Source organism: Homo sapiens, chromosome 8, assembly GCF_000001405.40.
Source record: "Homo sapiens chromosome 8, GRCh38.p14 Primary Assembly".
NCBI lineage: Eukaryota > Metazoa > Chordata > Mammalia > Primates > Hominidae > Homo > Homo sapiens.
In genome coordinates this window covers 91,006,137-91,031,918 of record NC_000008.11, presented here as the reverse complement: position 1 = coordinate 91,031,918, position 25,782 = coordinate 91,006,137, and the positions used below count along the sequence as shown (strand labels likewise).

General features: G+C 35.0%; 1 protein-coding gene across 1 annotated transcript in view; it reads left to right on the top strand.

Annotated features, from left to right (window-relative positions):
* Window positions 1-25,782, top strand: part of PIP4P2 (phosphatidylinositol-4,5-bisphosphate 4-phosphatase 2) — a 47,058-nt gene that overhangs the window by 8,941 nt on the left and 12,335 nt on the right. The window contains exons 2-5 of the mRNA NM_018710.3: window positions 10,515-10,663; window positions 11,656-11,762; window positions 13,406-13,529; window positions 23,124-23,176. Of these exons, the coding sequence (NP_061180.1) occupies window positions 10,515-10,663; window positions 11,656-11,762; window positions 13,406-13,529; window positions 23,124-23,176 (433 nt within the window). The remainder of the gene's footprint in view (window positions 1-10,514; window positions 10,664-11,655; window positions 11,763-13,405; window positions 13,530-23,123; window positions 23,177-25,782) is intronic.

Genomic DNA, 25,782 nt, shown 5'->3' with positions numbered 1-25,782 from the left:
TTTATATTTTATGACACAGTTGTTCTTAGGAAGCTGGACACACTTAGGAAAATATATCTATAAATTTAAAATGTAGATGCTTGTTATCCTTTCTTATCTCACTCTTTTACTTCCAATGTCCCTCTTTCACCTAAATAGCTATTCCTTCCAGTATGCTTTTAGAAATGAGAAAGATAATATATTGAAGATTAAGGATGTTACATGACTCTTGTAAAAATTAGAAGCCCAACTAGCATGCACTGTTTTATTTCTCTGTAGAATATATTTGCATGTGTGTGCTGCATGATTGATTAGGGCATTTTATTCTAAGCATTTACTTCTAAAGGCAATGGCAAAATTTTTCTTCCTCTCATATTGAGATATTTAGGCTTGGTCAATCTGTAGTAAGGATTTTAAAACAGTGTACAAGAAAGCCCCGAATTTTTTGACATTTTTAACATGTGATTTCCACAGGGGGAGAATTTGGAAGACGGCATGTTACAATATGACATTTTATTGTTTGAGAGATTAAGTGCTAAGACTGACAATCCAGAGGAGAAACAATATAGAGAAATGATAGTGAGTAGACTTAAAGTGAGATTTTCAGACACCTTTTAGACCATTGGACATATCCAAATAAACATTGATTTCTATTAGCTGTATGGATTTTACAAACTAATATAAAGTTATTTTAAAGTTTTGTAACAAAAGCATTTTCCAAGTTTATAGAATTTGGTTGTCATGTTCTAGTTCTCTATATAAAATACCTTGCCAGGCTCAGCAAAAGTCGTATTTGGATTTGCTACCATCCCTTAATGAGGACATAGGTCATTATTAAAACTATCAGACATGCCTGAATACAAGATGACCTAAGTGGAAGCCATGTGGTCTTTTATGACCCAGCTTCAAAAGTCAAATATAATGTCATTTCTGCCATCCTCTATTTGTCAAAGCAGTTACAAATACCCAGATTCAAGACCTTACCTCTCAATGGGAGCAGTGCCAAAGAAGTTGTGGCTTTTTTGTAAAACCACCATAATAAGCCATGTCATATCCATAGAATGAAACAACATGATGCTGGAAAAGAAATTATTAAACTCTATATACAGTTATGGAAAGATACACTGTAAAATGAAAAAACAATGAGATGAAGAATAGTTTATAAGTCATACTCTCTTTTGTAAGAATGATGGAATAAATGAGAATATGTATATGTGTATATTACCTGTGCTACACTCAAGGAATACTTAAAGGATACATAATAATAACATAAGTGGAAATCTCTGAAGTAAGACTTGGCGAATGGGCATAAGGGTTGGAGTAACAATTCTGAGCATATGCCTTTTTACATGATTTTCATTTTTGAGCCATGCCAATATATTACTAATAAAAATTTAATATGTAATAAATACATTAAACTTTGGCTACATTATATTATTGGTATTTGTGAAGTTTGTCTTGGATTAGTACCTCAAACATGTTAACAAAGCCATTTTTTTAGGCTGTGTCCCCACATCTCTGTATAGGTCCTTGCAGTTGCATATGTTATTTCATCCTGCTTGATTACTCCAGCCTATAAAGATATTAATAGGAAGAATCCTGTTTTGAGATGGAAGATCTATTACTATCTATACACTTTTCCCTAAGACCATACTCATTGCCTCATACACTTATTAGCCATTTATAGTCTTTTCCAAATGAGATCTACTTTTTTTTTTTTTTTTTTGAGATGGAGTCTTGCTCTGTCGCCCAGTCTGTTGTGCAATGGCACAAATGAGATCTACTTTTTCTTCCTATAGGTAGATGAGTAGGAAAGGGATTCTTAAAATTGTAACATTTAAATTCTACACATTTGCTGAGGCTCCTTTCTTTCATGCAGTCTTTTCTAATTTCTGTTGCTGGAATATATATGTTCCCAAAACAATACCTCATATTTGTACTATATATCTTTTTGTTTTTGTTTTTGTTTTTTTGAGACGGAGTCTCGCTCTGTCGCCCAGGCTGGAGTTCAGTGGCACGATCTCGGCTCACTGCAAGCTCTGCCTCCCAGGTTCACGCCATTCTCCTACCTCAGCCTCCCGAGTAGCTGGAACTACAGGCGCCCGCCACCACGCCCGGCTAATTCTTTGTATTTTTAGAGATGGGATTTCACCGTGTTAGCCAGGATGGTCTCGATCTCCTGACCTCGTGATCTGCCTGCCTCGGTCTCCCAAAGCATTTGCACTACATATCTTAATACTTATCTATGCATATGATCCCATAAGGAGAGACAAGGAGGGAGACAGGATTCCTGTCTCATCAGGGAGCTCTACTATAGTCCCTTGCCTATGAACTTCTACATTTAGGCACTTAACAAATATTGATTGTATGAATGAATGATAGCCTGAGAAAATAAGGAAGGATGTCATGATGGTGATGATGAAGTCACTTAGGAACTGAAAGTTTTACAGGTTGCTGGAGGAATGTGGGAACAAAAGACAGAAGTGATCCAGCAGAGCATGTGGTCAGATCTTTGTCCTCATTAGAAACATCCACATGACAAAGGGAAGAACTCCATGGCTGTAACCCCTGCTTGCTACAGTGGGGGTGCCATTTTAATGGTTTAATTCCTAGATTTCTTTAGTAATTTCTTTTTTTTTTTCTTTTTTTGAGACAGAGTCTCACTCTGTAGCCCAGGCTGGAGTGCAATAGCACGATCTTGGCTCACTGCAACTTCCGCCTCCGGGGTTCAAGTGATTCTCCTGCCTCAGCCTCCCGAGTCGCTAGGATTGCAGGTGTGCACCATCACTCCTGGCTAATTTTTGTATTTTTAATAGAGACGGGGTTTCATGATGTTGGCCAAGCTGGTCTCTAACTGCTGACCTCTTGATCTGTCCACCTTGGTCTCCCAAAGTGCTGGGATTATAGGCATGAGCCACTGTGCCCAGCCATAATTTCTGTATTTTAAAATAAAATTCGATTAATCCATGGGCTACAGATAAACAGTAGAATTTAAGGGATTTATTCACTGGATATTCTCTCAACACCTACCTAAAAAAATAAATATTGATTCTAAAGACTCTTGACTTTCTCTGGCACTAGAGCTCATACAGCGGCCTTATCACATCACTTCAGTTATGAAGCAGCCGTCAAATTTAGATAATAAGCAAGTGGAATGAAGATGTGATGGGTATCACCATCCTTGCATCTTAACAGGTCTTTCCTAGTGGCACCAATCTCTGAAATTTCCCCAGGGATGTGGTGTTGCTTTTGGTATCAGTTCCGGGGACTGCCACTTGGCCATTCCTATATTAACCTATGGGCCAGGGAACAAAGTTGGCAATTTTACTGGTTGCCAAGAATATTTGTTCCAATTGTATATTCATAACTAATAAAATAACCTCAGAGTGGATCCCCATATCTACTGGGACCACTGTGAGTTGGATCTGGGCTAAGACATCATCTATCACTTGATAGCCGCTTTGAGTCCCTCTGGAATTAGCACTGTTTAACCACCAGTTTCTAGTAATTCCTGAACCATCTGGGTATTCTCTTTTCCCCAGTACACAGTCTTGTAAATAGCCTTGTAAATAGCCTCAGGTCTCTTTGCAGAAAGTTTGAAGGAAGATTTACAGTACACGTTGAACCTACTTTTGTTGGAAACTGGTTGAAAGATTGTGACTCTCTCTTTCTTGTGGCTACCAAAGTTGGGTTGCTGGTTAAAATACTTAGAGTTTTTTCTAAGATATACAACCAAGCAACATCTTTGCAGGTAACCCATCCATTTCAATCCTAGGCTAATTTCAATTAGCCACTGCCAAAAGTCCTGTGGCTCAAAATATTGTAATATCCACTACTTCTTCTTGCAATAAATGCACCCACCTGTATTCAGTGTTTAATTGCTGCTATTTGGCCTGTTACTCCAGGATTTCATCATCCTCATTGAAATCAGGCAGCACATCTCAATGGAGTCATCTCATACTGTAATGTCTGGTCTGCATTGGAGGGAAACCACAGCAGGATGCATGTGCTCCTCTAAATAATGTATTTATTGATGCCTTAGTGAAGGGAGTATGCTCTGGCCCTTCCCAGGGGAGGTAGTGAGGTATGAATATGCAGGTTTCATATGATAAATCCACTTCAACATTCCTAACTCTGTATACCTTTGATTGCGTTTTCTGCATTATTCTAGGGATATTCTAGCATCTCAGCCTCACTAAATGTAAGACCAAGTCTTCATCAACCAATTAACTAAATGTTTAAAGCTACTTCTAGCTTTAAAACAAAGATTGAATCCAGAAAATCTCGCTAAATTCATTATTGTGTTTTATTCTCTTTGGTTTAACACCCTTAGGATCCACTTCACAAGTACTCTCCAGGTTTCTGGAAATACATATTATCAAAATGTTGCAATTATTTTATGTAGAAGCTGCCTCTTACTGAATTAGACTTTGTATTTGCCCTTCTGAAACATGTTGAGATTTGACCTTAGTTATGGATCTTGAGACAAAGGGCTTGATGGTGGATTTTAAGAAGAATGGTCATCCCCTTGTAAGGCAACTGCCTCAGGCAAGGGCATTACAGAGTTTTCCAGCAAGGGAAGGCTTAGGTACAAGAAGGAAAGATATTTTCCACTTGCAGTGGAGGTTCAGAGTGACTCAGGAGTTTAACATTTTCAGCTCTGTTTGGGTACAATCAGTTGGTCTCATTCCAAGTTTTAGAGTTCCACTTATTTGCAATCAATGCCCCAACTTTCAATGAGAAACTTGATAAGGCTGTGGATTTACCTAGTAAGGCTGTGGAATTACTTGATGTTATAATTTTGCAATTTGCACAATTAATATTTCTGTTTGATTTCCAGCAATAAATTCTTTGTTTATTAGAAATAAGTGATACTTTTAAGGTTAAGATAGACATTCCCTGGTTCTCTAACCATGACTTGAGCTGAGAATTTAAAGACCGGAGCTTCTCATTTTCTGTCTGTAGAGGCCCAATGCATTCATAAGGATCCATCCACATCATAGTCCATATAATAATTATTACTACCATAATGCTCAAGTGAAGGAGCCACAAACATCACAATCAACTACTGGGGATAATCTGATTCATCAGGATGGCACCATGTGTCACAGATTACTACCATCCCATTTCCCATTGGTAAGGAGTTTGGCATAGCATTTAAGCTCAAGTTCACCAAACCACTTCTCCAATTCCATCTTTGAGGAATTGTTTCCTGAGATCACTTCTGATATGAATTTCTATATCAGTCAGGATTGGTCAGAAGATAGAAACCACAAAATGGAGTTTAATATAAAGAATCATTAACCAAGTATAAAGTTACTAACTAGGTAACTGTAAGGTAAACATATTACTCTAAGGTATCAAGGAGGTAGCAAGAAGCAACTGCCACCACTAGGGCTACGGGAAAAAAGGGAAGAGATTGGACTTACTAAAACCTAGTAACTTAGAGGAGGGGTCCTGCAGAACTGAAATATGACTTCTGAAGAAGCACTGGCTAGCTTGTGCTGGTGTCTCTGAACTCTAGAGAAACTCTCTGAACTCCTTCCTTGGGAAGGAGCACTGGCTATTTGGTGTGGGGGTCTACACAAGGAAGCTGGTTCTGGCGAATGTTGAAAACTATAAACTGACTTCAGTGTTCCCAGGGGAAAGAACTACCACTGCCAGGGTGAAGTAATACTCCTAGGGTGATGTTCAGAGAAACAGCAAGCAGATTGGGAGCAAACAGGTAACAAATAGAAGGAATAAGTCCCTTATTTCTCCTCCAGCCTTGCAGCCTCCCAATATCACCTCCTATTAAGAACATATCCTGGAGCCGGCTGACAAAACCAAAATGTGGTTTGCAGAGTTCCTGCTCCAGCATCACGAAAGAGAGTAAAGGTGGATTTGGAACTGAGGGTCAGTAACCTGATAACTAGCATATTTCCTTTTCAACCTGTCTTCAGCCAGATGAATTTTTCCAAGAATGTCATTGTTCTGGGAGAACTTGAGTCTCCTAAAATAGTTTTCTTTGGTTTCAAAGGTGGGGAGGAGCAGAAAGTGGTCTTCGTTTGCTCTGTATTGAACTGAACTGGAGAAGTGTGACACTAAAAGCAGCTAACCCATAGTGGCCAAGCTAAGTCTGTCCCTAACCTACATTCTGCACAAAGATACTAGGGAAAATGAATACTTGCAATGAAAATTAGAGGAGAAAAAAGCCAGGCTTTCCTCAAAGGCTGCTCTTTTATACTTTTCTTGCTCCTCTTATAATCGTAAAATATCTCTCATTTTAAGCTGACGTCATTTTCAGTTTTGATATAACATCTTTGTCAAGAGCCTGAAGGGCTGCATATAGAGGATGCTAATGTAGTAAGTGAATTAAACTGCCAAATATTGTCATTGAGGAGACGTATAAAGGAATAATTGAGATAATAAAGGTCAGAGCAATCCAACAAAACAATTTAAATCTTTAAAATACTGGAGGATATATCTGAGAAAAGATGAAATATGGATTAATACACCAGGATGAATTAGCAAGACAGAGGGGCTGTTTGGCATAAAATAGATAAATTAGGTAAATGTGATGAGAAATGTAATCTGATCACTTGTGGGTTTACAGGATATAATGCTTCCTTTTGAGTGTTTTAGAAAGATCATTATGTATGCCTTGTGATCCATAAACTATCATTCTCTCCCTTTTATGAGTCCGTTTTTCTCTGAAGTTTTTACTGTGAAATGATTCTTCTTTTTAAAATATATTCTAATTCCCCCCCACCCCGATTCTTCCTTCTCCTCTTCCTCTTAATTCTCTTTAACCAAGATTTCATTCTCCAGAAATCTACATTATCAGATGTTTGCTTGTTCCTAGAAAAATCCCCCCATTGGTCCTTAAATATTTTCCCTGTATTAAGTCATTATTTATTAAAGGAGACAGCTGTTATTGTGGAGCGATCTCCAGAACAGGAGTCAGCTCTTGGCTTTGCTGAAGTTGTGTATAACCCTTAAAAAGTCAGAATTTCTGGGTTTGTTTTCTCCTTTGTAAAATAAAGAAATTAGACTTCATAATTCCAAAGATTGTTTGAATTTCTAACATTGTTCTATTCTGGAGCTTTGAGGGAGTTTTTTTTTAGGATTAAGGACTACTGGCCTAACAAATACTGCTCACATGGAGGAAAAAAGCTTTTTAATTTAGAAAAACCCCATGGAGAAAAATGACCATTGTTTAGATAACAAGTAAGACTTTTCCAAAATGAGGAATTTTTGTGACTTTCAACATCTAATGATCCTAAGTTCTGAGATTACAGTGGACTTTTTAAATGTAGTGCAGAAATTTAAAATAGGTAGGATACTGGTGATCGGTTGTTTTAAAGTGAAAATATAGGCATGGTGGTGCATGCCTGTATTCCCAGCTACCGAGGAAGCTGAGGTGAGAAGATCACTTAAGCCCAGGAGTTCAAGACTGTATTGAGCTATGATTATGCCAAAGTGAAAAGAGACAAAATGAATAAATCTAAGTTAATTTAATTATTATAGGTTTAATCTATAATAATCCAATTATTAATCATTTAAATTAATAATCTTATTCTAATTATTGTAGGTTTACTAACTGTGGAATCTCCAGAATTACAAGTCCCATATAAGAGGAGATGGAGCTACAAGTAAATGTTTCCTTGAGGTAAAATCTGAGAGAAAGGGAAAGGCCAAAAGTACAAGAAATAATCTGTCTAAATCAGTTTAAGGCTGAAGTAATGGATAGAACATTGAAATGAAAGGCCAGGAAGCACTGTTTATTGTGGCAATTAGGCTGCAGCATCTGTCATTCTATTGATCTCTTGGATTGATTCCATTTATCTGGTGGGCCAGGCCAGTGTCCCCTGACTACTTCACCTCTCTCAGTGCATTATTTGGAGAGAGTTGTCTTCTATATAAAAGAAGCCCTTGTTTTCCATCAAGCTGCACTCCCCTGCTAGAACCTTAGCTCCTCTGCAAGGAGAGTAGGGTTAATGTATTAGGTTGGTGCAAAAGTAATTGCGGTTTTTGCTATTTGAAAGTCGTAGCAAAAACCGCAGTTACTTTTGCAGCAACCTAATACTTGGTGTTATTTTTCCAAGACAAATAGATATGTCTAATAAATTTTAGTGACTCGCTGATTTATTAATTAATTCAACCATTGAATAAACATTTAGTAAGCATCATCATAGACCAGGCATTATGACAAGCGCTGGTGAAGTAGCTGTGGACAAACCAGATGTGCCCCTGGCCTCGTGGAGCTTATGGTCTCTCTTATATTAGATTTATAATCTTCACTGCTTGTTCTGTCCATGTCCCTCCACTTCCCAAGCCTCCAAAAGAGTAGATTTGAGCATATTTCTGTCATTGAAGGCGTTTTTTTTTTGGCAGATTAAAAATTATATAGTACAAATCTTAGAAGAAAAATTCACAGGGTTTTACTGGCTCTAATGCCCTTTTAATGATTGTTAAGATCACCCTCTGAAATTTTCTTAGGAGATTTCTTTGAGCAAAGCTGAGGAGTGTATGGGTTGGTGTCCTTTTATGTAGTGTAGCAATATGTCACTTCCTCCTCTCCCCCTAATGCCCTTGTTTTCTTTATAAAACTGTCTTGCATTTAAGTTTCCTTTCTATCATACTGTGTAAGATAGAGACCTGGGATTACGAGAGAACTATGTAATGTTACTGTACAACTCAAGGAAAAGGCCAGAGAGGAAGCAACTTTTGTTAATAATGCTACTGCAAATAATTATTAAAATAATATTCATTATCATATACCAGGCAGTGTGTCTTGAATTTCTAGTGAGGTACATATTCTTTCCCCAAGAATAATGTCTTTATTGAGATCTGACAAAGTAATCTGCAAATTGCAAGACCTTAAGTATATTGTTGACTCATTGTTTCTTTAACATGTTTTTTTCTTCTTGATTAATACATTACAGGTCACTCTGGATCACGCTCAAATTCTTTTCATGGATTTAAAATTATTTTTATAATTTAAGACATGTACAGCTTCTTTTGAATTTCAGTGTTTGGCAGTGTTCTGTTATAAGCCTCCCAGAAACATAAGCATATCGTCATTTCAAAGTGGCCTCTTTCAGAGCCTTGGCTGCTGCAGAAATTTGTCTTATGAATCATTTGAACGAATACCACTTGTTGCTAATCCTTAGCAGTCTGAAAAAAATCCTATATTATAACCCAAGGATCAGGTAGAAATATGTGTATTTTAAACATACCAAAATGTTTTATGCTCTAATTCTTTTTAAAATATCACAAAGTTTAGGACCTAATACAGTGGATAGAAAACCTTTATTTCAAAAATAGCTCTTATTATGCTTAGCTATTGTGATTATATTTTATAGTGTTACAGAAGCCTCTTGAGATACCAGTTCTCTTTCGTGCTTCAATCATATGTTAGAGTGTGGCCCTTTCTAAATGTCCCAAGACAAAACTTTACCTTGGAAAAGTCTTCTATTCCTGTAGTTGAGATAGTTACAGAAAGGGGTTAGGCAGTCTCCTTTAGAAATCCCATTCCAGAGTAGTATATCAGGATTCCTTTTCTCAGACTTTTGTAACAAATATACACTTCTGGTAGATACTTGATTTTGAAAGTGGGCCTCCACCCTTCACTCACTCACTGAGTCAACCTTAGGACTCTCAAAAAAAACACTGTGTGTGTGTCTTTGTATTATGGGAATTTTCAAACATACACAAAAGTAGTGTGAAACTATGACCTTCCATGTCATTATATTCATCAGTTATCAACATTTTGCTACTTGTTTCATCTGGTTCCCCATTCTTTTTGTGGTGGTTGTTGTTATGGTTTTTGAAGTTTTTAATCCCACATACTACATTTTTTTACTCATAAACACTTTGGTGCATTTCTTACATTTTTAATGGTAGGTAAATTTTGAGACTAAAAATTGTTATATTTACTTTATTTTTGTTTTGTGTCTGAAATTAGCATGGTTCCCATTTTTGTTCCATGCTGAGAAGTTTAGTTTTCTTAGGTTCATTTTTGTTTCTTCTTGACTTCCTCCAACACCTTGTTTTATTCTTGTCATAGCCAGCAGTCATTATACTGGTTCCAATATAAAGACAGAGCATGACAGCTACATAATTTATATGTATGGATAAGCAATTTTAAAACTTTGCTTTCATCGACCATTTTTATTTCCTGGGAATCAGATCACTTGTGTAAAATTTTTATTGTAGGCATAAATTACCACTCTCCTGTTAGAGACTGTATGAATTTACTAATAGGAATGGAGTGACATTTTGAGTATAGATTAGTAAAAGGAAACTGGGTTATTGGGATAGACCTAGGCAAACATGATTTAGATTTTATCAGAGTTAAGAATTATTTTACTTGATAAGAGTCTCATGGATGTTTGTGCTCTAAAAGTAAGATAAATTGGCTAGCTTTGAAAAATAAATAAAAGAACGTGGGAAAATCTTGATTGTTTCTTCTTTACTTATATTGCCTCTATACTCAAACCAGCCATAGTAATTTCTCCAAGACTCTGATTCAGTGACTAATATCTTTTCAGCGGAGCTCCCACCTCCATATACAGCCATTGCCAGTCCAGACGCCAGTGGTATTCCAGTAATAAACTGCCGTGTGTGCCAATCACTAATCAATTTGGATGGCAAGCTTCACCAGCATGTGGTTAAGTGCACAGTTTGCAATGAAGCTACGGTAAGTGGAGATTTCCATTAGAAAAAATATAAATTGTTATTTGACATTTTATTCCTAAAGGAAGTACTTCAATAATGTTACTTAAAAGTATATGTGGGCTGGATACAAATATGGTAATCTTTTTTCCTGTCTTTTCTTCTGTCTCTCTTTCATCATAGGATACCTCACTGTGTTTAAAGCTAACCCCATTAAGAGAATTTCATGGTGAATTTAAATATAATGCCTTTTGGCTTTTTACTTTCAAAAACTAGACTGAGCATGGCAGTTACGTATAAATACTTTCAATATCTATCCACATCACAACTACATTCATTCTTGTTTTCATTAAAATGAAAATATTGTGTACTAAACTTCATTACAGATGTAAACTTTGCCCTATTTATGTGGAAAATTATTTGAAGTTATTTTATGTCTGTAGGATGTCACTATTGTTTTTCTGGGCTTTTGTGATTATGCATTTATTATTAGCATCTGTGCCAAAGTGTTTACAAATAGTTTGACATTTTATTCAATTTAGTTGATAGTAATTTAGGAATGTTTAAAATATTGAATAACACCTTTCCTTTTTTAAAAATTGAGCTTTGGGGAGCAACTAAATTTTCAGCAGTATTTTTATAGCTTCAAGTAATAAACTGGTAAAGCATACACTGGTTTAGATGAAATATATTTCTTTCATAGTTAGGCTTTATATATTACATTTTGATCTCTCAAAATCTGCAATTAAATATTAATTTTATCTTTGATGTTTTATTTTTTTCTCTTTAGAAAAGACTAAAAAAAGTCAGCCAGTGATTATTGTGTCTTGAAGGACCACAAAACATGAATACTTGACTTCATATGTTTTATAGAAAAATCATAAAATAAAACCTTAAGTTACAAAAGCAATATATTTCATTAGTTTTAATGGAATCCTTTCCTTTTTAAACACAAACAAACTTTGACAATCTGTACTTTGGTTAATTGCTGTGTTTGCATTTTCTTCCCTTATCCAGCCAATCAAAAACCCCCCAACAGGCAAGAAATATGTTAGATGCCCTTGTAATTGTCTTCTCATTTGTAAGGACACATCTCGGCGAATAGGATGCCCAAGACCCAACTGGTAAGAGATAAAGATTAATTCATTGATTCATTCATTTGTTCATTCAACAAGTATTTACTAAAGGTTCTTCAGTGCCAGGCTTTGTTCTAGAAAGAGTTTTTGTTTTCAAAGTCATTCCAGAATCTAGATTATTTTTTTGTTAAAGGAATGATAAGCTTAGTTTGAACTTAGTCATAGATATTTGTAGGATATAATATTCTTAAATGAGCAATGAATGTTTTCTTTGTGTTATGTAAGTACTTAATGCACTGTAATAAATCAATGACACATTGAACGTATTTAAAAATAATGAGGTCAGGCCAGTGGTTCATGCCTGTATTCCTAGCAATTTGGGAGGCTGAGGTGGGAGGATTGCCTGAAGCTGGTAGTTTGAGACCAAACTGAGCAACATAGTGAGACCCCATCTCTACAAAAAATTAGCCAGGTGTGACAGCATGCACCTATATTCCCAGTTACTTGGGAGACTGAGGCAGGAGTATCATTTGGGCCTAGGGATTAAAGCCTTCAATGAGCTATGACTGTGCCTCTGCACTCCAGCCTGGGCAACAGAGTGAGACCCCATCTGTTAGTCTCTCTCTTTTTTTTTTTTTTTGAGACAGAGTCTCAACGGGAAGAGTCTCAAAAGAGTTGGCTCACTGTGACCTCTACCTTCTGCCCTGAAAGCCTTCCCACTATAGCCTCCTCCTGAGTAGCTGGGACTACAAGCACACACCACCACTCCCAGGTAATATATTTTTTTTTTTTTTTTTTTTTTTTTTTTTGTAGAGACAGGGTTTCACCATATTGCCCGGGCTGTCTTGAACTCCTGGGTTCAAGTGATCCCAAAGTGCTGGGATTACAGGCATGAGCCACCATGCCTGGCCCATCTCTTAAAAAAAAAAAAGTAATCACTTAGTTTACTTTTGATATAATTAATCTTCACCTGCAAGTGTTTTAGTTATTTTTGTGTATCTCACTGTATATTATACTAATCTCTGCTGAATGTATATGTGCAATAAATTCTGGAATTATTCGCTCATGCCCAGTACCATTATGGATGTCCCCAGATACAAGTATATAAAGGCCTTACTTGTGTTTTTTTTCTGTGATCTCTCTAGCTTTTTGACCATTACATGAATCATGTACAGCCCTATCCAATGATAGACTAGAGAATAGAAATGAAAGCAGGATCCTGTTTGCTTTCTTTTCATCTCTGATTAAATACGCATCAAGGAATATCACACTGCTCAGAGAAATTTGGTTGTAACCCAGCCCTTCGGTGCCTTCATGGCACAGAGATTTTTGTTGGTATAGAATATTTTTAACTTAGTCTTCTACCAAACTCAAGTTGGCTTCCTAGATAAGGAAGGGTAACAACTGTTTTCTGATTTGAACTTACAAAAACTTGGAAATGACAGTTAAATGGTTGCCATTGATTAGGACCAATGCTATAATATATTGTTTCTATCCCAAGTACAGACTCATATTTTGCTTTTGAAAAACTGACTGTTGCTACTCTTTGTAGTTTTGCCTCCAGCTTGACATTTAATTCACTTAATTTATGAAACAAGTATAGCACATTTCATATTTTTGGCCATATGTTGCAGGTTTTGCTCTCAGTCCATTTGTGGGATAGTGAAGTTGTTTCCTTTCTCTTTTCACAGTAGACGGATAATTAACCTTGGCCCAGTAATGCTTATTTCTGAAGAACAACCAGCTCAGCCTGCATTGCCAATCCAACCAGAAGGTACAAGGGTCGTGTGTGGGCACTGTGGAAACACATTCCTGGTAAGTCACTGGACATTTGTCATTAATCTGTAAATATAGGTCATGATCTTACAGATTAGAGCACTGCTCATAGTCTTATAGTTTTGTCCAAATGCAAATTAATCAAAATATTAAAATAGAGACTTATTTAGGCAGACAATCAGAAGTGCAACTAGGATATAGAGCATCTTCTGTGAACTAGATAAAAGGTACGTCCTCTGATAAGTCCAGTTGCAAAAAGGATCCTCTCTATGTAGGCCAATGAGAAATCGTGCCCAGGCTTAGTTCCATGAGTATCTTGGCTTGGGGAGCAGCTGAGTCTTAGCCCTGCTCTCACCTGCTCAGCAGAGGTCAAAGTGCACAATCTCATGCAGTAGATTTGCTTCATGGCTTCTAGATTGAGGAAAAATTTGAATAATAATTTATCAAAAATTTTCTGACTTTTATAAATTATTCTTGGAGCAAAGGGAATTAACACTGTTACCCATAATTAGATAAAACCATTAGATAAAGAATAAGAAAGTATAAGTAATTTGATATGAGCAAAAGTTATAAAAGTTTTTGTTTTACTACTTCTAACTTAAACTTAGTTTGATTTTTTTTAAAGTTAAATTCATAATTAACTTACCCTGTCAGGAAGGATAAGGACAGGTTTTCTTTTATTGTTCAGCCCATATAGGAGACAAACATTTTCTTTAGAACTTGAATATGAAAAATATTTATCAGAGTATACACATGGGAGTCTAAACAAAACCTGCTGTCACTAAGACATGAATGAGCTTAAGAAAATATAAGTGGTTTGCTTTTTTTTATTTGTAATTTTACTTTTATTAAAGAACTTTATGTATATAGTTCTAAATGTCAAATGGGACTGCAATCTTCTCATCTAGCTGACCCCTAGTTACTGTTCCCAAAATGCTTTCAACTCTTTCAGCTACTTTATTGATAGTCACTTCTATGTGTTTATTTTTTATAATTTTTAAATTTTTATTTATTTATTCATTTATTTTTTGAGATGAAGTCTCACTCCGTCGCCCAGGCTGGAGTACAGTGGCGTGATCTCAGCTCACTGCAACCCCTGCCTCCCGGGTTCAAGCAATTCTCCTGCCACAGCCTCCCAAGTAGCTGGGATTATAGGTGCACACCACCACACCTGGCTAATTTTTGTATTTTTAGTACAGATGGGGTTACATAATGTTGGCCAGACTTCTATGTGTTTAAATTGCTTATCCTTTTTCTATTTGATTAAGCAATTTTAGACATTACCCACTAAATAGTAAACTGCAAAATGAGAACTTAGCACTTATACTGCCCTCCCACTCATATTCCTTTCCTTGCTTTCATACTCCCAGTCAAATTGCAACATTTTGTTTAATTAATACTTAGTGTTTACAATTTTTATGATTAGGTAAATTTTGTTCACAGCTGAACCAAGCAATGTGGTACATTTTTCTTGTGCATGCATTTTAACATTTTCTTGGACTTACAAATAATTGCCCCCTCCTTTGGATTTAATTTTCTATGTGTAAATCATTCATTCTTCTCATATTCTTGTGTAGAACTATAAAATACCTATTACTATAATTAATTGCATCAAGGAATCTCTTATTTAGGCTTCCTGCTACATAGTTGTCATCCTTCCCTTCACCATCATCATGAAAATTCCTTTTACCTCTTTCCTGTGTTGGATCCCATGCCATCCTCAGAGTTCTTAGTTTATTCCTTCATTTTGGTGGAGCACATCTACTCTTTGCTTTCTGAGAAAAGATGCAGGGAAATATTATATTTGAGCTCTTTTTCTCTTAAGTGGTTTTTAATCTGATCTTACATTCACTTTATAATTTGTCTAGATGTGCAATTCTAGGTTGCCAGTTGTCACCTTTCAGAAATTTAAAGTCTTTGTTCCATTGTTGATGAGAAGATCAACAGCTATTGTGATACCTGATCCTTTTGATATGACATATTTTTTCTTCTTTTTCTTTTTCCTCTTTCATTTTCTTCAGTGTTCTGAAATTTCATGAGTCTATGTCTTCGTGAGGGTCTTTTTGAACTCATCATTTGGATATTCAGTGGGCCCTGTTATTGTCCATTCCATTTTTTTGGTTTTTAATTTTGTTTTTTCATATTATTTAGTGGGAAACTTCATTATATCTCCTCATCTTAATTTAAAATTTTAATTTCAGATGATCTAACTTAATTTTTAATTTCTAGGAGCCTTTGTTTGTCTCCGATTTTTTAATAGCATTCCTTTTTCATGACATCTTTGTAAAAAGTAAAGTAGAGGTTCCTCTTCAAAGACTTTCGTCTCCGTCTAATTAGGAGTAAATAGTAACTTTTCTTAGAAGCAAAATTTATTCAAAGACCTGTGCTAACATTATTAAATATCTGCTAGCTGTAATAAAGAAATCAATGTACTTTATGTTCTTAGCTCCCACAATTTAGCCTAAATATTTGCCCTGGCATGTTTATACTGGTCCAAGCAAGCATTTGGTCATAGCCTGTTCCTCTTCTTATTTGAAGGTGTTTTTACCTTTCTCAGCATTCCACAAGTTACTTCCTCCTTCCTTTGTTCTCCTCTGCCTTTGCCTCTTTTAGAAAGTTCTAAGGTGTTAGCCAATCAAGACAAATACAGAATGCGAAGTCCTGTTCCAGCCAATAGAAACCAGACACAGCAGTAAGGTCGATGCATCAGGTTATAAATGACCCTGTCTCTTTTGTTCAGTGTACTCTTGTGGCAAAACTGCTGGCGAGTGTACCCTTTCTGCAGAAAGTATAAAAATGGCCTTGCTGAGAAAATTAAATTTATGTCCAAGTGCTATTTCTTTATGGCACCAAAGAACAAGCATTTCAAACATCTTTCTGAAGCCATTAATTACATTTTTTCTGAGGTATTCTTCTTCTTTATGCCTTATCTCTGTTTTCTCACTACTTTTTCTATTGGTATTTCTTTTGATAGAAGTTTTATGCAGAAGTTTATATTTGAGAGCAAGTCACTGATTGGAGTCTCTATGTATGCAGGCAGGGGATAGGTGAAAACTGTCTCCTCCTCGTCCTCTCCCTCCTTCTCCCCCTCCTTCCACTCTTCCTTATCCTCTTCCTGCTCCTCCTCCTCTTCTTTCTTTGTAAAGCTGTCAGCTATTAGTATCAATTGGTCTTTTTTTCTTTAGGGCAGATTTCTCTGGGGAAAGATCCTCTAATCTCTTGTAGGAGATATGCCCGAGAGACAGCCTTTTAGGAGCTAAGAGAGGTAATAGGGGTGAAGCTCTTACACGCTTTTCAAACAATAGACATTAATTTAAATCCTTTGTTTTTAGAGTGACTTTTTATTCGTGCCGTCTTCTGTGCCTGGTGTTCCTGGTCCACAAGCTCTATAGTCCAATTTCTCTACAGAATAAATCATTCTTCTCTTAATATATTGGGGAAGGGTGGTTTTCTGGTTTTGTGAGAATTTGCAATCAATACTTCTGTTTTTTTCCCAGCTTTATTGGGTTATATTTGACCAACAGAAATTGTATATTTGAGGTGTACAGCCTAATGTTTTGATATACGTCTATACTGTGAAATGATTACCACAATCAAGTTAATTAACATTTTGATTACCTCATATAGTTATCGTGTGTGTGTGTGTGTGTGTGTGTGTGTGTGTGTGTGTCTTTGTGGTAAGAATACTAAAGATCTACCTTCTTAATAAATTTCAAGTATATAATACAATATTGGTAACTATAGTCACTATACTGTACATTAGATCTTCAGAAATTATTCAGCCTGCCTAACTGAGACTTTGTACTCTTTGACTAAAATCTCCCCTTTCCTCACCCACCTCAATGCCTGGCAACCACCATTCTACTCTCTGCTTCTATGAATTAAACTATTTTACATTCCACATACAGGCGTGATCGTGCAGTGTTTGTCTTCCTGTGTCAGGCTTATTTCACTTAACATAATATCTTCCAGGTTAATACATGTTGTTACAAATGGCAAAATTCCCTTCTTTTTAAGGCTAAATAATATTTCATTGTATGCATATACCACAATTTCTTTATCCGTTCATCTGTCGATGGAGATTTGGGTTGTTTCCATATCTTGGTTTTTATGAATAATGCTGCAATGAGCTTGGGATTGTGATACTCCTGCTTTATCCTTACCCCAGCCTCCACCTTTAAAAGTATAGGGTCTATTCTGGGTCTTTCAGTGTGAAGCAGCCTGCCATTATTGGCTTATCTCTCTGTAGGTAGTTAAGTTTCAACATCCCTTTCGCTAAGTGAGTTGCAAAGTCCATCTGCTTTCCATTGTCCAAAAATTTGAAGTCATAGTCCCTCTTTTTTTATCCTTATGGTATTATACATTTCAAAATTCAATTACTATTATTTTAGTCAGGTTTGGAAAAAAATGGAAATGCATGCATTTATTCAATTTACTGTATTTAACCAGAATTGCTAGGATTTTTCTGATTTAGTAGGATATGTCTCCTTTGTTACATTTATATTTTATTGATTAAATCAGTGACTAAGTACGTAAATTAGAAAATATACTTGGTGGGGATAGGTAACAACTTTCTTTTTAAAAAGTCACTATAGGCTGGGCATGGTGGCTCATGCCCTGATATTCCAGTGCTTTGAGAGACCAACATGGGAGGCTCACTTGAGGCCAGGAGTTTGAGACTAGCCTGGGCAACATAGAGACCTCACCTCTACAAAAACATTTAAAAATTAGCCAGGGGTAGTGGCATGCACCTATAGTCCTAGCTACTCAGGAGATTGAGGTGGGAGGATTACCTGAGCCCAGGAGTTGGAGGTTGCAGCGAGCTATGTTCATACCACTGCATTCCAGCCTGGGTGATAGAATGAGACCCTATCTTTAAAATAAATAAAAATCAGTATATACTGATTTAATATAAACTAACGTACTCTATAGTTACCAATAGATATTAAATGAATTAACTAAATTAAATATATAAAGCATATTTGTTATTTTCTTTTTCATATGTGAACAAACTTTTGACAGTAACACAATTTTAAAATCTTCAATATAGATTTGTTTCAACCTACTTCTGGAGATCTCCCTTCTACAGCTACCTTGCATTCTTTCTTGTTACGTTTTATCTTCCAAATATTTGCCATGGATAATCCTTGTAGCCACATTACAAAAGGAATGATTTTATTTTTTCAATTATATATATTGAGTGTGTGTACCAGGCACTGAGCTAGGTGCTAGGGAAACAGTGGTGAACAGGAAGCACAGTCTCTGCTTTCATGAAATTTTCTAACCTAATAGGAGAGGAATGGATAGCAAAGAGACAAGCCTGAAAAAGCACAAGGCTAGAATTTTGGCTTTTATTTTTCAGCAAAGTGATGATGATAGTCAAGAATAGCATAAAGAATTTGAGAGAGAATTGACTGTACTAATAGGGTAGAAAAGGGAATGAGGAGAAAAGAACAATCAAAAAGACAGTTGTTATAAAGGTTTATATTTAATTTTTAGAATCATCTGGCAATGAATTCTAGAGAATGATCTAAATTGAGAGTTTAGGTAGATATGTATGTGCCATGGTTTCTATTATATTAAAAAGTAATTTGTACATTTAGATATTTTTCCCCAAGAAGAAAATTACTAAAGTAATGTGCAAGCCAGAGACTTACTTCTAAAGCTGGCTCTTTCAGAGACTAACTTCTAAAGCTGGCTCTTCCTTACTTAACATTCAGTGCAGGCAAGTGAATCATATTATCATATTAGCAGAGTAACTATTATTTAAAACTTTAATTCTTTAGCAAGAAAAGATGTTTTGGATTAAAATACAGTATTTAAAGATGATTTCAAAATTTTATAGGAAGTTTTTGTTGATTAGGGGAACACTGTATACACCTATAGGAGAGGTATTGGTTACTTTTGAGAGTTTTGGATTAATGAGAGATGCTCAGTATTATGAAGAATACACTGACTACAAAGTTCTTACAGCCTTATCCTTATTATTATGCTGATCTTGACTAATCTTATATTCTTCATAATATGTTATTTGCCCTTCACACTGTTAATTATTAGGTTAATTCATTTACTCATTTCCTACTTTGTTTTAGACTTAGCTTGCAAGGCTAAAAGCAATTGAGATAAGTTACAAAGATACACTAAGTTCAATATGATTGAAAATCAAATGTGAAAAAAAATCAGGAAAAATAATAATTAGGGCAGAAAAAAACAACCTGAAGTCATGCATAATATGAGTATGCTAATATTTAGTCTAATACAGTTGATAAAATCAGGCTGAATCTTAGCTCTGAGTTTTCTAGAGTCAAAGAAAAGAAAATATGACCTGTGACAAAATACTCAAGATATTTTATTGGAAAGATCACATAGGAAATGCTTTTCCTGAAATAATGAGCTCTCTCTCCTGAGAGAGAATTCTCTCAAGGATTAAGATAAAAGAACTATTATATGTGACAAGGCTTTTATTATTTAAAAAATTTATACTTAAAAATAATTTAATTTTGATATTTTACCCCCAGAAAAAAACACAATTGCTAAAGTAATATGCAAGCTAGAGACTAGCTTCTCCATATTCTCACAGCATCCTTCTGTTTATAATAACATTGTTTAATATACCAGTGCTATAATGGTAAGGTTAAATTTTCTAGGAATTCACAATATTTACACTATTCATACCACAGCCTAGCTGGGACCATGGATAAATGTAGAAAAGCCAGATTTGCGTTTTCCAAAGTGTATTCAATGGCACATTTATTTTATAGGTTAATAACAGGTGTTTGTGAGTAAAGAGTTCCATGTTCGTTGGGAATTGCTAGGATTAAAAAATTAAACAGAATTTAAAATAGGATATTCTTTAGCAGTTTTAGCATATACCATTGTATATATTTAAGAGGGAGTTTTTATGTTGTATGTCCAAACATTTTTTACCCTCCAAACCATTTTGAGATCATCTAGCCTGAGTGGTGATTTGAAGGGCATTGTTTGAAAAATAATTTCCCAGAAGAATGAATTGACTTATAAAGCCTTTAGCTAGTTCTCCATAAATGCAAAGAAGTTTCTTAACACAACTGAACAGCAGAGTTTACTATTACATTTCTGTAGGGCCCATGGTCTCTGTTGCTGGTAAAAGGCATATCCAGATACTTTGTTAATCAACATTGACTGAGGGTTGTTGTTCTTTAATAAAAGTGAACACAACTTAGTTCTAACTTTGCCCTGAAGTGGGCCAATTTAGTACCTTCAGGCAGGGCCAGATTTTTTTCATTTGTATCTAGGGACAAATGGGTGCCATAGCAGAGAGGGATAATAGTTTTAACTTGAACATATTTCAAAGTGTTACCAGTTGCCTATTGTATCTATCTGTCTATCTATCTATCTATCTATCTATCTATCTATCTATCTATCTATCTCAGTAAGATACTATAAAATTAAATTATTAGTTTTAAGCAATATAGCTTTTTTTTTTTTTTTTACAAATCTTCTAAGATTAGTTGCAAAATATATCTTGGGGAAACTCAATTTATCCATTACATGTTATAGAATAGTTAGAAATAAGTCAAATTTTAGAAGATCTCTACTAAAAATGATTGGGTTTTAGAGAAGTTGCTTTTAATCTTGCTGATATAATTAAGATTTTTTTCTTTTTGGTATAATGAGACTTCAAGGTCTGGCAATAAAATTTTAAGAATCCAGAGGCCAGATTTTAGATGAGAGAACAGTACTAAGTCAACTTCTTTTCCAAAGCATAGGTTTGGGATTCATTTGAATAAATTATAAGAAAATTATTCTAATAATAGATGCTTTTTGTTATTAGTTTGCTCCGTTTAAGTGAGTACTTGCAGATAACAACAAAACCAGATGTGGTAGGTTGCTGGCAATGTAATACATTAATTACAGAATAAAGTCCCTACTGTTTGTCAGTTATCATTGATTTTATCATGCATAATTTGTGCTAAAATGAAGAACACTATAAAATGATAACATTGGACTAAACAATCTCCTTAGGCATCATCTAAAATACTGAAATTCCTATGTCAGTCTGTTAGCCTTAAGTCTTGGATTTTGAGTTACTCTTGACTCAAAGGTTTCATAATTACCTTCTCAAACCAGTTTGCTTCTTTTAACTATGAAAAACTTAAATTTTTTATTTATAAATAACATTTGAAATGACATTACAAGTTCAGTAACTATCCTAAGCCTGTAACAGAAACATAAAAAAGCACTTAATAATAGTTCTATATTCTTCCACTGCTTAATGTTCTATACCAATTTCTGTAGAAATCTATATTAATATCTGTTTAGCACATTAACTCAAGAATTTTTACTTTAAGAGCAGTTTTAAAATAAATTAACTTGTTGCAAATTGATATTATAAGTAATTCTCTCATAATTAATGAGAGAAATATTCACTCTAGCTTGAAAAATAAGTGCCCTTGGTTTGACATTTGCAGATGTTTAAAAATAATCATTTTGTAAAGAGAGTGAACATTCATGTAAAGTTTTATTTCTCTTTTATTTATCTTGGGACTATATGTTCCTGTTGTGACTAAGCGAGATCATAACAAGGTTAACTAAATTTCATGAGATTTGAAATAAAAATGAAGAGAAAGGAGTTTAGGAAACCCAAATTTATATTTTCTTTTCTTAACTCTAATCATAAAAGAAAAAAGTATGCATCAGATATTTTCTAAAAGGTATCTTCTATTGTGTGGAAAACGTTTGAATATCCATAAGTTATTGAAACCCCCGTATCTAGAATTTGAGCCTTCTGAAAAGAAAAATTGTTGGCCTAGATTTCCAAATGAAACAATTTTAATAAAAATATGTTGTTTTGATGATAAACTGCCAAAGTACTTAAAGAAATTTTCCCAAAACTATCAAGGAAATATACCCTTTATAAGGAAGTATATAGAAAAGCAAACAAGATAGAAGAAGATTGTTAGAAAGTCATTTAACAAAATATATTTCATGGGATAAAGATTTACTTTAAATTTATATTGCATATTCCTTCAAAGACTATCTACAACCAGTAAGTCATTTCAAGTATCTGAATAACATTCATGTGAGGAAGGTAGCACATTTATTACTTAGATTTACAGGGAAGAAAATTGTACTAAGCAGTGTGTTTTTGTTATATTGTATAAGCAATGACAGAACAGGAAACAGTTCCCGACTTTTTAGTTTATGTACTTGGTGACTTTCTCACATAAGTAGAATAAATAGTTTAATTTTAGTAATGAATCTAAATATTCAAGTATTTAAAAGGCCAGCCCTCAAGACTTAAAAGAAAAATAACTTTGATGGTATATGAAATATGATTGTATTCGTTGGAAGTGAACTGAGACTTACTGAACAAGATGACCCCAATTATGGTATTACATTCAGTATTCATGTAAAGCAAACCTAGATTGCGTCAGAGCATTGGAAAAGTCATGGGAACTATTTCAGAGGAGGATCTCATATTGTATTTTAAGAGAGGGAGAGAAGTATTGGAGGGAAAAACTCATGTAACCGTGAGAAGGTGATTGCTTCTGTTGTGATCCCTGATGACATTTAAAGTAAAAGAAATGTCTTATCAGATTGGATAGTTTTCAGTTGTTTTCTTTTCAATTCCTCTCTTTGTTTATTTTACAGTGGATGGAACTGAGGTTCAACACTCTGGCAAAATGCCCACACTGCAAAAAAATGTAAGTTCCCTACCATTGGAAATATTATTGAGAAATACTTGAGACAAATTTGAAGAGTTCAGAATTTTCACTTAAGTAGATTTTGATTTTAAAACATGCTGTGGAGTGAATCCATGCCAATGTATTTATGCTTTTTAAGACTAAAAAGATATCCTAAAACAAATATATCCCATTTTGAAATTAAAATGATTAGGCTTGATTATCATCATCTAAAGGGAAATCAATTTCTATTATAAGAAAGTGAAATTGCTAAAAATTATCAGTAACCTGGTTAGGATATTATAATCTGTTACAAATAATCTAAAATTTACATTTATAAAATGGGCTGTAATCTAGGAGAAAACTCAAATTGTTCTGGACTTCATAATTAGGTGATTGTTGGCCTTTTTCATCTCCTGCCTAATAAGATTATTACTGATAGCAGCATTTATATAATTATTTGTTTATCTTAATTATTTAGCCTATTTCTCTCTATTCCTAAATGATGCACCTAATGAAAATAATGACAATATAAAATGAAAAATAATAGAAGATATTTTGATTAAAGACATTTTATAGCATCTGTGTTGGGGGTCCCAAGACTACACCAGGGTTCCTTGGTTTTCTACAGGGACTCATAGAAATTAATATATAGTTGTACTCACAGGTATGATTTATTATAGCAAAAGTATGCAAAGCAGAATCAGCAAAAGGAAAAGGCAGATGGAGCAAAGTCTGGAGGAAACTAGGGACAAGATTCCAAGGGGCCCCTCCCAGTGAAGTACCCCAGCAGTGAATTATTACCATGCATGTACCATGTTGTCTACCAGGAGGCTCATTAGAGACTTAGTACCCAAGGTTTCTACTGGAGCTGGTTACACAGGCACATCCTACCTAGCACACACCAAAATTCCAAATTCCTGTTTGAATGGAATTTATGTTTAGCATAAACCATACTGTTTACACAAACAATTTATACATAATAAGCCACTCTTACCAGTTAGGGAATGATGGGAATTCTCCCCAAATCTAAATTTCTAGATGCCAGCTAAGGGCCAACCTTACAAGCAGGGCTTTCTAAGGATAGCAGTCTCAGGCCTACTGTGTTAACTCTTTTCTGCACTGCATCTATTTTGATAATAAAATTATAATTTAAAAAATTATTGTTATCCTCTTATGTATGTGAATTATAACTGAAGCAAAGTAAATTAAACTGGAATGCTTAGACAATCCAATTTTTATTATTGAAAATAAGAGGTTTGAAATAATATTCATATTTTAATTTGTGTGATCCTTAGTATGATATAAATACCTTATCTACATTGAGAGTTGAGAAATCCCAAGAATGGTTTATAGGAGAAAGTAATTAAAAAGTATTTGGAAGTAGAATATGTGTAGCAAAATATCTCCATCTCTGCTAGATCTGATTTCAACTAAATATAGCTCTGTAAGAATAACTTTACAGCATATCTTAGCTTATAAAAAATAGTTTCTTTTTTATTTGTGAAATTAATCATTCTGATTCCTTACTGAATCCAATAGAAGTCTGTACATGGAGAAGCAAAGTGGATAAACCCTTAATACGTGCACAAAATAATATATACGTACTTGAGGAACACACCTATACTCCCCCCTCCAAAGTATGTGAATATGCATATGGATGATACATATTTCTGGGTATTATGTGTATTTTCACGAAAATGTACAAAATTAAATTGCAAATATATTCACCAAGAACATTAAAATGGAAATAAAGATCTTATAGAAAAGAAAAGGCAGAGACTTCTTTTTTTTTGAGACAGAGTCTCACTCTGTTGCCCAGGCTGGAATGCACTGGCACGATCTCAGCTTACTGCAACCTCCACCTCCGGGGTTCAAGCAATTCTCCTGCCTCAGCCTCCCAAGTAGCTGGGACTATAGGCACACGCCACCACGCCTGGCTAATTTTTGTATTTTTAGTAGAGGCGGGGTTTCACCATTTTGGCCAGGCTGGTCTCGAACTCCTGACCTCGGGTGATTCACCCGTCTCAGCCTCCCAAAGTGCTGAGAATACAGGCATGAGCCACTGCACCTGGCCTGACAGAGACCTCTGTGGTTAGCAGACTGTGTGCTAAGCAGAGTGATAGTTGCTTTATATATACATATATACTAGCTGTAATCTTTACAGCAATCCTGTAATACAGGGATGATTTTTGTAATTTTACAAATCAGCAACTGTTAAGAGAGGTTAAGGATTTTGCTCAAGGGACTTGCTTGGTTAATTATTTTCGTACAATGGCAATATTTTTACTACTAATAAGGAAGTATTGAATGTCTGAATACTCCGTGATTTGTTAAAATATCACAAGACAGTGTATTAATATGAAGAAGAATTTGTATCAACTACTTAGGGAACAACTTACATAGAAATTCACATGGAATAAATCAGCTTAAACATTATTCTAAGAGGAAGGTTTGTAGAATCAGAGTCACATGCTAAACATGGGAGGACTCAGAGCATTCATTACTTATTTGAGTGCAAATACTGTGACCACATGAACACTCCTAGCTGGTATCTAGATTTATTTTCTTTTTGAATGTTTTCCTTCAGAGCAAAATGATGGGTCATCTGTTGGAGTAAGATTCTG